The sequence below is a fragment of the Homo sapiens genome, chromosome 6 (genome assembly GCF_000001405.40).
Source record: "Homo sapiens chromosome 6, GRCh38.p14 Primary Assembly".
Taxonomy (NCBI): domain Eukaryota; kingdom Metazoa; phylum Chordata; class Mammalia; order Primates; family Hominidae; genus Homo; species Homo sapiens.
This window is the reverse complement of record NC_000006.12, coordinates 129,258,305-129,271,627: the sequence shown is the minus strand read 5'-3', so window position 1 is coordinate 129,271,627 and position 13,323 is coordinate 129,258,305. Positions and strand designations below refer to the sequence as shown.

Sequence of the window (13,323 nt, the reverse complement as noted above, 5' to 3'; positions counted from 1 at the left end):
AAAATTGTTGATTTTTATTCAACACAGCCTGTAGTCCAGCTGAGGCAGGAGAATGGCTTGAACCCGGGAGGCAGAGCTTGCAGTGAGCCAAGATTGCACCACTGCACTCTAGCCTGGGCAACAGAGCGAGACTCTGTCTCAAAAAAAAAAAAAAAAAAAAAAAGTATCCCAATTTAAAAACAAAACAACATTTTTGGTTGGGGTGTGCTTAGCTGTTTACTGAGAGAGGCTGCCCTGAGGGAATGTGAATTCAAGCAGCTGGATATAGCATTCCTCTAAAAGGTAAGGAAATGAGGAAGTCAAGTGTTCTTTCTTGTTGTTGTTTGTTTTTTTAAATCTGCTCTAAGAGGTGGTTGTTCTAGGTGAACAACGAATTTTTCTAAAAAGAAGGGATAGAATGGGTACTTAAAAGTCAGTTAAATCAGTCCCTTCATTTTACTTTTTGAGAGGTTTACGACTTGCCCAAGATTCACAAAAAAATAGTGTATGGGTAGAACCCAAATTAGCTGTATTTATATCCTTTTATTAAGGTATGAAGATGGGTATGTGTCTGTGTGTAGGTGTGTACATGCATGCACATGTATGTGTTTGTATAAAATATTTATGTTCTTTGGAATTGGTGTAGAAATTCTATTTGAGTTCTACTCTTAGAAATTAAATCACCAAAACTAGAGCTAAAAAAATTACAAATTCTTAGAAATCCTCATAGTTTTAAATATCTTAGGTTTGAAAAAATTCATATAATTTTCCTGAAAAAATTCATGTCTGTGTTTATTATTTATTTACATGGGATAAAAGGAAGTGTATATTTGCTATGAAAAGTGTACTTGCAGAAATGGATGCTGAGCTTATTCATGGGGTAAGTTTGTTACTTACTTATTGGATGGGATATTGAGTGGACAGGCACAGGGTTGACAGTCTTCAGAGGTTCCTTTAGTAGGCTCGCCATAGAAACCAGGAAGACATTTATCACAATATGGGCCACCTGTGTGATCCTTACAGTTCTGAGAAAGAAATGAGCATCAGAGTTTATTATTTTGGTGTCAGGGATCAACATGTTGCCAAAAATAGGTCTACGAAGTCATTAGTCTGCTCCCTGCCAGCAAGAATAATTTTTCCATGTTAAATGGTCAATTTTACAGCAGAGAAATAGCATTGAAAGTTAATTTAATATCTAGCTTATAAACAACACAGTAGTTTCAGCATATGCATACTTACAAAAAGATGATTGAAATTCATTTTAATGTTTTTCATTATGCAAATCTTACTTCATTTTTTCTTTATTTTCCTTAAGAAAATACATGATATTGCGTGTGTGTGTGTGTGTGTGTGTGTGTGTGTGTGTGTGTGTGTGTGTGTGTAGTCATAGAGCACTAATAACATATGTTTAATGGAAATTGTAGCTGATTCTAGGTAAAAATCAATTGTTCAGCTTGAAATTGCTGATTTAATGGGAACTGTGGCTAATCATAGAAATCCTCCGGGGCTATGGCCTCTTAGCTCAGACATGAATTTTGGCCTCAGTGGACTCTGATGGTTTGGACAATGCACTACTGTATTACATCTGTGAGAAGCTTGCTTGACTCATAATTAAACATGGAGAAAATTGAAAAATTTTAAACATCACGTGCCAATTTCATCAACTAAATGTGGATATGTATTTCTGTAGTAACTGGTGATATTTGAAAACAGGCTTTTCTCTAAGTTATTTAAAATTCTTTCTCAAATTTATTTTTAACAAAACTTTTTAAAAGATAGCATTAAGGTCAGCTTCACTATGAATAGTTGCCTTAATAATGCAGTATATTGGGATTTAATGTGCAAAACATGGATCCATTTGAAGAAAGATTTTTTCCCCGATTTGATTTTTGTTTTACTTCCTTTCAATTTTTAAGTTTAGCTAAACTAAGCTATTACTGAAGAATTGCTTGTTTTTTTGTAAAATTATTTGCATGTTATCTCACTGATACAACTAAAATTATGTCTTCAAATACTTAAGGGTTTTAAAAAATTGAATCAAAAATTAATTTTGCCTTAAACATGTTGAAAATGGTATTTCTAACATTCAACTGAAAATCTTGCATAATTGAGAGGGTTTTTTATTTCCAATTATTGATTTAAAAGACAAATAACATGTAGTTCTTACATTTTCTAATGTCACGTTTCATCAAATAAAAATCATCTTAAAACTCAAGTATTTTTGTAGTGGAAACCAGAAAACTGCATCAGACAACCTATATAATGGAAATAAAAAAAAAAAAAAGATGGAAGCTTCACTCTGATGGATTGGTTATTTTTACAGGTGTCCTGTTACGAAAGTGCTTTACAAAATTTTGCTCACATTACATACCACAAGAACTATGAGAAGAAGCAAGCATGAAATCTTCCCATGTGACATTGAATACTTCCTGGCTTACTTCAAATGGACTTTGAGTTAAAATGTCTTTTAAATATAGACCTACACTATTGCAGAAGTTTAGATTTTGTTCTGGTGCCAAAAATATTTTTCAGATAATTTATAATCAAATTTTAAAGCAAGTTAAGCTTTATAAATTTATAAATTTATTTTTCATGCTAAAAACCATGCTACTTAATGCTGGGTTAAAACCATGAAAAATAAACAAGAAGCTAAAATGCAGGGTCAGCTGAACAGTAAGAATGCCCTTGATGAGCAACATTCAAATATTCTCCTCTTTGTGTATTGTATCAGAACCCATATACTCAAAATGGAATATCAGCACTTAGTTATCAATACAATTTTGGAGAAAGGGCACTTGAAAGTCAGTATATCCTACATGATCACCTATTTACTAGCTATGATGGAAAATTCAGGAAACACCAGATTCTGTCTTTATCATCAAGATGTCCACTGTTTCCTCAAGATCGCTCTGTTATTTGAAGGAGACCTCCTATCTCCCTGTTCATGAAACAAAATCAGTAAACTAGGCATCATTAGTAGGGTCTGTTCTCTCCCTTCCTTCTCTCAAAATTATGCTGAATGACACTGTTTTATTAGTTAAAAAAGGCTTCTAGTTTTAGAAATATCACATCAACAAATGGACTAATTTGCTTTCATCCTAATGAATTCAGCATGAAAATTTGATTTGATTTTATCCTAATGAATTCATGAAATATGACTATATGGAACATCATGAGTTTGGTATTATGACATACTTATTTTTGTCTTCTTAGGGTAAGTAAAACAATTCCATGTCAGTTTTGGGCTGAGTATTATTTCCTACTGCATGTTAGTGAAGTGTTTAAAGGTAACCCAATATTTTTCCCAAAGTACATTTTAAAAGACTTATGGCATAATTAAAATGAAAATCACTTAGTCTTTCTATTCATAAAAATGTCATTTCAAAAATCCACTGATCCACAAATTAAGGCTCTCATGCTTCATAATGCAATGCAATTAAACAAAATCTTATATAGAGAAAAGGGAAAGAGCATCAACAAACCTAAATGCCAAATTACACTGAAACAAAAGCCCTGAATTTTCATTTTGGATTTTTCCCAGAAGCTTTTAAGTAGAAGAGAAATGGGGGAAAATGAGCAAGAGAAAGATAGAACATTAAGAATTACAGGTAACAGAATCCGCCTTAAATTCTTCAGGGAAATGAGAGTATAATATCCTCCTTAATTGGCACCATTTTAAATTGTGTTTCTGCAAGACTAATGAAAGGAGAAGTGTTGTTTCAAGCTTCATGCCATGTCAGACAATATAAAACTAATGTGCCCTTGAGTTAATCAGAATGGTCTATTCAGTGTAATTCTCCAATCCTAAGGTTTCTTAGCAGGATGGAAAGTGCTTTGCACTTTGTAAAGCCTATTTTCTGGTTAAAGCTTAGACTTAATTGCAAAGGAGAAGCAGCTCTGGTGAATATGTATTACATATTGTTTTTATTTTTAATCTACAAATGACACTATGCATTTAGTTAAATTATGAACATTTTAAATAAAAATATGTAGTATGTTTTCATTTTCAACATGAAGAAAACTTAATTATGTTTACTATAAAGGTTATATTTTACACTTTTCATATTATGGGGATATAAATTATTTTCTATTTTAAAAGTACACTGTACTTTTCATAGATTTATGGAAGAAAGTGAAACCATATATATTCATGGTAGTTATACTTCCAATCAGAAGTTATGCCTTATAAAAATATATCTGATTCTAATTTAATTCTTGATTTAATATGAATAAACACTTCCTCATATTCATTAGGGAGATCACATATGAAAGAGCATTCTCAGTTCCAATTCAGTTCAATACAAAGATCTTTGTCAAAGCACTTCTTGACTCAAGTGTTTAAGGTCCCCAGGGTAGTAGCTGAATTGTAGCATCTGTCGAGGTGATTTCAGCCTTGTCAATCAGCATCCCCAAAGAAGAGAGCACTTACCAGGCATTCTCCAGTGACGTCATCACAGGACTCCGCATGACCAAAGCACTGACATGGCTCACAGATGCCACCAAAAATAGTGCCGTTAACTCGCCTGTGCCTAGGCCAACAAGACTGAGAGAAAGATAAGGCTTTAGTCAGTCTTGGAGATTAAAACAAAAAGGTGTTTTTGTTTGTTTGTGTTTGTTTTCTGATAACAGAAAATAACAGGTAGGAAACTCATCAAATGTGCTTGTCAAAGCATTGCCATTATTGAAACATTGCAACAGAGCTATTCCTCCTGACACTGGGGCTTTGCACTGACCTTAGTGTTATTGGCAGGTATGAGATTAGAGGAAGCATTAGCTTGGTGTTTCTTCTGAAATGGTAAAATAAAGCAGAGATATAAAGAATTGAAATGTGACAGTCTCAAAGAAAAAAGCACAGACAGGAAAGTAGAAGAAAAAGTACTGTAAAAAAGGCAGCTGATATAAAAGGACTCATCATATAGTCTTAGCCTAAGAGAGTACCCGATGTCATCCCAAGCAATTTTGATTCTCTGGAATGTGTTCACTTGCCCATATACTAATTGCCCTTAACGTCATCATTTCCAGAAAATCTTTGACATGATTTGGAAGAAAGGCAGCACCCACACTTATATTTGACCACATACACAGCTAATTTCTACACATATATAATTCATGTATTTCATGCTAAATTTCCTCCATCCTATTATGCTTTCTCAAATTTACACAAAAAGTTTATGATTTATTTCTCACATTCTTGATAGCTTATTTTATGGCATTCTTCTGTAACTTTGCTTGTATTTTTCATTCCTTGTTTAAAATGTGAAACACTTTATTATATAAAAACTGAATTCTGATTAAAACAGGGTATTTTAGTCTTAGATTCCCTGTGTCAGTGCCTGCTCTAAGTTCCCCATCATCCTTAATTAAGTTTTCCATCTGTGGGGATTACTACAAAATGGATGAGATGCAAAATAAGCATGAGGCAAATACTGCTGCCCTCTAAGAGCTTATGATCACCCTCCAGTGAAATTGCATCTTGTGGGTTATTTACTATATTTCTGGATGGTCGAGTACAACATCATATATCATGAAAAGCCCTTCTTTTCCAGTTGAAAAAGAAAACAGAAGAGAAACCACTGAAGTAATAAAGGATATAGAATTGTGTTATGCTCCGTGGAAATGTTCCTTCTGCCTCAGGATATGAGGACTCTCAAATTTGAACATCAATAATGAACACATAAAAAAATTTATGTACTGATACTTTATATCTGAAAATAAAATAAAATGAACTTTCCCCTTAATTTGAACAGTACCAAAAAAAGTGTCAAATTTGTTTTCAAAATTATTATTATACTTTAAGTTCTGGGATACATGTGCAGAACGTGCAGGTTTGTTACATAGGTATACACGTGCCATGGTGGTTTCCTGAACCCATCAACCCATCATCTACATTAGATATTTCTCCTAATGCTATCCTTCCCCTAGCCCCCCACCCTCCGACAGGCCCCAGTGTATAATGTTCCCCTCCCTGTGTCCATGTGTTCTCATTTTTCAACCCCCACAACCAACCCAAAATTGTCAAATTTCTATCCTGTTCCGTTTCCATTTCTCCCAATTAAATCCCTTCCCATTTCTCCCCATTACATTTTTTGCCTCCCTAGATTCATTATAGAAGTGATTTCCTTCTGTAATATACATTTTTAAAAGCTGGTGAAGCTACATATTCATAAGGGGGTAGAAATTAAGGATGTTGAGAAAAGGGAGAGAACTAATCTACTGTTTTCAGACAGATATTCATGAAGTTTTCCTTAATAAGTTTTTTTGTTTTGTTTTAATACTCTGCAAATGCAGTACTCATACCACGTCTTCTTTCTTCAAACTTCCCAACTCCTTACACCTCTCTTTTAGCCAGTGATTTTAACTTATTACTCACAGAAAAAAATTAAAGCTGCCTTTGCACTAACAAGTCCAGAGATCTAAGCATATATCTCCAAACCTTGTTGCCATATTCCCATTCCAAACAAGTGATGTGGGGAATGTGGGGTCCTTCCTCCTAAAGAAATATTACTCCACTTGTCATCTGATTCCAGCATCTGTTATCTTCTCAATATTCACTCTCTCTGATGGATTAGTAATAACTTTCCCTTCTACTGGGTCATTACTATCAGCACAAAAAAATATGATCTAGTGTCTCCATCAAAAATAAACAAAACACAAATGACAAAACTGTCCTCTTAGCCTCATATAACTTTTCTAGTCATCTATGTTTTTCTTTTCAGTAACACTACTCTTAACAAGTATTATATTCCTCACCTCTTTTTCACACTTCATTCCATTCTAATCTGTTTTGTGTCACCACCTCTCAATTAAAACTGCTCTTGTCCTTGTCACCAAATTCCATGCAGCCAAATTCGATGGACAATTCTGCAATTGCATTTTATCCAACCTTTCATCAGCCTTGGGCCTAGCTGACTCCTTTTCCTCCCACAATTTCTTTTCTCAACTTCATGACATCACACTTCCCAAATTTCTAGCATATTTCTTTGCTGTCTCCTCTGCTTTGACCCTGCTTCTTAACGTCAGGAGCTCCTCAGGGCTTGGGCTGGGCTATTTTTCTCTCTTTTTTAAATCAATTGCACTTTCTCCTGGGTAATTTTATTCAGTTCCATAGTTTATGACGCCTTCCAAAAACATATCTCTAGACCAGACAGACATGCTGAATTTAAGACCTGAATATTATAAATACACATTGACATTTACACTTCACAGCGTTTTCAAATCGAAAATTTCTAAACTGGACTATGGATTCCATGCCCCCACCCCCCCACACACACCAACTATTCCTCAGCTCAGTAAATGACACCACAACCAACTGATCAATCATTCAAACTGGTCATCTATGACTCATTCTTAAACTCTTTATTTCTTTAATCTCTCCCCTGACATACAGTCTCGAATCAGTAAGTCCTATTTGTTCTACTATCAAAATATATATAGAATATGCTAACTCTTTTTATATTCCCTGCCATGATCCTAACAGCAACTACTGTCATTGCTGTGTTCCACTGCAACTACATATTAACCCTTCTCCTTCCTATTATTCATGCCCTCCTAAGACACATTCTTCCTACTGTAGCCATAATGCCTTCTTCAAAAAAATGTAACTCAGGCTGGGTGCGTTGGCCCATGCCTGTAACCCCAGAACTTTGGGAGGCTGAGGTGGGAGGATTGCTTGAGCTCAGGAGTTCGAGATCAGCCTGTGCAACATATTGAGATCTTGTCTCTATTAAAACAAACAAAAAAAAATAGCTGGGCATGGTGGTATACACCTGTAGTCCCAGCTACTCAGGAGGCTGAGGCAGGAGGATCACTTGAGCTCAGGAGTTTGAGGCTGCAGCAAGCTATGACAGCATCACTGCACTCCAGCCTAGGTGACAGAGCAAGACCCTGTCTCAAACAACAAAAAACACCCCAAAACCCAAAAATGTAAATCAGATTACACTACTCCACTACTCTGCTGAAAGGCTTGTAATGATGTTCCATGCCATGAGAATAAAATGCTCATTTCTTATCATATGTGCAAATCTCCTCATGGCCTTGCTTTTCCAATCACTTCTTGTCCCACTTTTCCCCTTGCTTACAAGGCTCCAGCCACGCTCCTTCTTTCCAGTCCTTACAGACTCCACGATCTATGCTGCTTCCTTAGCAGCTGGTTTTACATCGTTGTCCCTCTCATTCTTCAACACTCGATTTAGCTGTCACCACCTCAGGAAGCCTTTCCTGACAAACTTTTACAAAGTAGACTTTCTAACCTTCATACAACCACTTGCAGTAACTTTATCATAGAACCCTGTTTATTTCACCCTGTTTATTTCCTTCATAGAATTTGTCACGTTTATTTCTATTTGCTTTCTGGCATATCGTTAATGCCACCACTCAGTGCAACGTCCTTGGGGACAGGGACAATATCTGTATTGTTAATGGCACTATTTTCCCTGTGTAGGGTCTTGTTTGTCTCAAAATACACGCTCATCAAATACTAGTCAGCTAAATGAAAGTACGAACAAACAAACAATTCTATGAGGTGGTTAATATTATTTTCATTTCATGGAAGAAGAAACTGAGATTGCATAACACTCTTTTTAATAGTATATCCCCTGTCTCATCTGTCAAGTGAAATCTATGATGACAGCACTATGAAAGTAAGAAAATTTTTGAAAGATTTAACTGCAGAACACTTCACAAGAAGTCAAGTAGAAATGAGAAAAAAGATCCTGAATCAACACTATGGCCCCAAATGAAGTAAAAGAGAATGTCTACAATGGAGTCATTTGATCCTTTTTTGGCCAGAGGTTCTCAGCAAGCTGGAATTAAGACATTAATGGTCTTTGGCGTTTACTCAGCTTTTAAGGGATCCCAGGATATTAGTGATAACAAGGCTAGAATGACTGGCCTTACAAACTACACTTAATTGAAAAGCAAATGAAATAATGAAAGGATAGGACTGAATAATAGTGAATTTAGGGACAGAAAGTTTTGATAAGGAAAAAATGAATTTTAGAGAGTAGAAGAAATGAAGAAGTCAGAGAGAAAATCCAAAGTTCCAAAATTCATTGTCTCTTGATTCAATTAAGTTCTTTTATGGATTACAAAGTAATTTTATTTATCAAACAATTATTGTGTGACAGATACAGGAAGCTTTTATTATCTCTCCTTTTTTTTTCACACTCAAATGCTTCTATCTATCTGTTACCATTATTTAGCATCCAATTTAAGATTTCTCCACTCCAGGACACTTTGCATCTCTCTCCACTGCAGTAGCTCATCCCTTTGAATGATTATTGCATGTATGTTCTGTAGCACATACCTCTCCCTTAATTATACAGTGCTGAGATCCCATTTTTCATAGATATTTATTGTCTCCCTAAACAGATAGGACAGGGATTATGTTGTATGTACTTATTAATAATTTATACAGGTAAATTTACAGAATTTATCAAACATATCTAGAATGTATTGAAAATATTTTTGAAGGAGAGAAGGAAGAGACTAAAAGCATAGCCAATTAAGCAATTGTAATATTCAAGTAATTTTATATTCAGTGGGCACTTAGAATTTGTATAAAAGATAATGCAAAGGATGAGAACAAAGTATGTGGAAACAAGCCTTAAAACAAGAGTAGAATTAAGTTATTTATTATGCCAATTGAGAGAGGATCTTAAAAGTTCAAATAGTTTGGAATCAAGAGCAAAAGGCTCTTGTTTCATCAAATACATTGTGTATTTTATATGTAAAATCAAATTTGGGTTGACATAGCTAATTGATATCCATAATTATTTTTCTCTCATCTACATGAATTTTGGAAAAGCAAGTACTTCTATAAGTTATATCTAGTTTTATTTCTAGAAAGGTGAATCTGAGCTCAGTTAAAGGAAACACAGCTGTCATGAATATGACTATAATGCGTATCTCTAGATGTATGCATTATTTTAAAAGTACGAGAGAACTGACAAAGCAATGCCTAGAGTATTTCTATAAATGGCATAATGAGGTAGTGTTCTGAAGTGGAACATCTCAGTACACTCAAATGATTCCTTAAAGGCACCATTTTAAAGAAACTAAGCTCCTATTTATCTGCTAGCCATGCGCTCTGTCAAGGAAATAGTGTTCACATTTTTTGACCAGGTTTCAAGTAAAACCAGTTTCACACCAGTTTTCTGTGTAAAAGAAAATACACAGAAGCAAATAAAAATTGTTACCTTAGGATGACACACTGCGGTATTAAGTAAGAACCATTAATCTTATTATAAATCTAGGATATTGAGACAACAATAAATATCTCAAACATTAGGTGCTAAACAAATCAAAGACCTGTAGGCAGTTTTCTATATCAAGGTATTTTTTCCATATATTATATTCTTGACATTCTGAAGATTATATGCTTCAGATGATTGTGATTTGGTTGTATTCTTAGAAATGAAGTAGAGGAAAAGTGTGATACAGAATTAAAAAATGAGAGAAAAGTAAAAAAAAAATAGAGTGCTAAATTTTGGATAACATTATGATGAAAATGAAGAGAAAATATTTTGAAGTGCTATTCTGCTACCATCCAGCATACAATAGATCAAATATGTAGCAAAGACAGAAACATCAGATTTTCAGTTATAGGCAAAATATCTCAGAGAGAAAGAGTTACAAAATGAAATTATGTGGTTAATACTCTAATTGAAAGCCACAGCTTTTGGTAGATATTCAAGTTTTGTTTTTAAGTGATACACATTATTTGTGTAATTATTGATAGAAAAAAAACAGCTCTTATTAGAATAGGTTATTGAAAGCAATGTTGAGGGAACTTTGAAAGCACTAAGGATACATTCTTGCAAGCTTACTTCACAAGAGGAGCCAGTATACCCTGGTGGGCACTGACACACTTCTACAGCTGCTGCAATGCTTCCATCAGTAGGATAGGAGACAGCGGATTCAAGGTTAACAGAGCTCAACCTATGGCAGAGGAAAAAAGAGATGGTGAATAAGTAAAGTTCTTAGGTATTATACAGCTGTAGGAATCGTACAGCAACAATGACATAAATATAAGCCAATTATGCATGCTGAGAAAGGAAGCTGATGAATACCATAACCAAAAGCTCTGGTCCTTTGTCATATTAGGTCAAGTTGGCTCAGTCTAAAGTGCTCACAATCACCACCACCTCCAAATGCTGAAAAGATATGAGAATGTTCTTCCTCGTCTCTTGGCTCTTGGCTATGTGTTTTGATTTTCATTTTTTGGAGACAGACATTTTTAAAATCATATAGTTAAAGGGTCTTTTAAAAAAGAAAACATTCCAATGACTGCTTGATTTCTTTTAGTGCTTAAACAAGGAAAGCAGAAGTAGGCAATATTAATATTCCATCTTAGCTTTTAAATTGAAATAAAAGATGGAAACAATTTTGTTTTCTTTTTCTTAGAGATAAATCTGCTTGTTTGTAGTTGGTATAAGCTAAACTTTCTCAAAGTGCTCAGTTGACTGACTTAGAATGATCTCTGGAATTTGTTTTTGGCCTAAATTAAATCCATTGTTCTCTGTATCTATGGCCTTCATTTTATTGGTACTTTTGTACAATCTGGTGATTTTAGCAGAGTGATTTGGCATAACTCATTATTTTAGAGAAAAGCTGGTTTGGCCAAATGGAAAATTGGAAAAAAATGCTGTCACACACATATTTCTTTTCTTACTATGCATTCACATTTTAAATAAATGTTATTGGTATCTTACTTGCTTTTCCTATTTTTGTGTAAAAGGACATCTTAAAAGCTTAATTATTAAGAATACAGTTTTGTGAGTCAAATAGACCAAGATTTATATCCTGTCTCTGATATTTACCAGCCTTGTGGCCTAGAAGAAAATAACTTATTCTTTCTAGGCCTCAATTTTTTCTTCTATACAATGGAGATAATATAATAGTCCATACACCATGAGCTTGATTTAAAAGGAAATGAATATAAACTTCTTGGTATAATATGTAACACACAGTAGGTTATTATGAAATACTAGACATTTTATTAACCTATTTTCATTGACTGTTGAAACCAAATAAAAATTACTACAAAACATTACAAGAAATATACTTTTCACTATTTGTATCTCCAAATCATTTTAGTGCATGAAAATAAATTTTAAATAAACTCTAAGAGCACATAATTAAATGACTACTATTGACTCATAATAATCACAGTTTTAAAAATTACCGATAGACATTTTATAGCATATGATATGGCATCTTGTAACCATAAGAAAGAAGCAACTGATTCTCGCTATGGCCTGCATTTTTCAGTTCCTTTCTCAGGAGTGATGGTAGATTTTTGTTGATCAGTGATTCACAATTACCAAATAACTTGTTAGATTTGGGAATCAATGCTGGGAATTTGGGAATCAAGCCAGAGAGCAAAGCTAAAAGGCTCATTACAAGGTGTAAACATATCTTCAAAAGTGATGATCTTTATCCAAATTGTAAGCTTTTCAGCAATAGATTTCTAAAATTTTCATTGCTTTTACCCCCACTTTGCTAATCCTAGACACTTGACAGTACTTTTGAATATGTATGAGCTCATATATGATCAGGAAGCAGAAAAGGAAATTAACCCTGAAATCACCAGATATAGGCAGTTGGATGGAATCATCCTGGCTGCTGAGTGCCAGATGGCACCCTCTAAACACAAGGCAATTATCTTTACCTGTAAATAAACTCATCCAACACTATTAATTGAGTGCTATATTCTCTAGGGGCACATCTTGGACAACCTGGTAGAAGGTTCTAGATTAGGCAAATATCACTGTCCTATAGTGTTTAGGTTACATGTGTCATTTGAAAATCATTAAATGCTTTTTTCCCCCCTCACTGAGGAACCCTGTCAATGAAAAATGCAGTGTCACAGGCATTTACTTTTCTTGTCATTAGTTTAGATGAAATTCACATCATATAAAATTAAGCATTTCAAGTTGTACATAGAGAGGAACTTTGACATTTGGGGTAGGATGAAAATTTTCAAACCTATTTAAAATTTAAAAAATAAATTGTACAATTCTGTGATTTAGTACATTTACAATGTTGTGCAACTACGACATATATCTAATTCTAAGACATTTTATCAGCCCAAAAGAAAACCCAGAATCCATTAGGCAGTCATTCTCTTTTCCCCTCTTCCTCTAACCCCTGTAAACTAACAATCTGCTTTTGTTGCTATGAAGTTACCTATTCTAGATAACTTCATTGCAGCATGTATCAGTATTTCATTCCTTTTAATGACTAATGTTCACTGCATGTACATGCCACATTTTGTTTATTCATTCATCAGTTGATGAATATTTGGATTGTTTCTACCTTCGAGCTATCATAAATAATATTGCT

The 13,323-nt window shown here is 34.2% G+C and overlaps 1 protein-coding gene across 2 annotated transcripts in view; it reads right to left on the bottom strand.

The window, feature by feature from the left end:
• The window catches only part of LAMA2 (laminin subunit alpha 2), a 633,429-nt gene that overhangs the window by 244,939 nt on the left and 375,167 nt on the right, over nucleotides 1–13,323 (bottom strand). For both annotated transcript variants that reach the window (NM_000426.4, NM_001079823.2), the window contains exons 15-17: nucleotides 10,806–10,917; nucleotides 4,409–4,522; nucleotides 877–1,004 (exon numbers count right to left, since the gene is read on the bottom strand). In NM_000426.4, the coding sequence (NP_000417.3) occupies nucleotides 877–1,004; nucleotides 4,409–4,522; nucleotides 10,806–10,917 (354 nt within the window). The remainder of the gene's footprint in view (nucleotides 1–876; nucleotides 1,005–4,408; nucleotides 4,523–10,805; nucleotides 10,918–13,323) is intronic.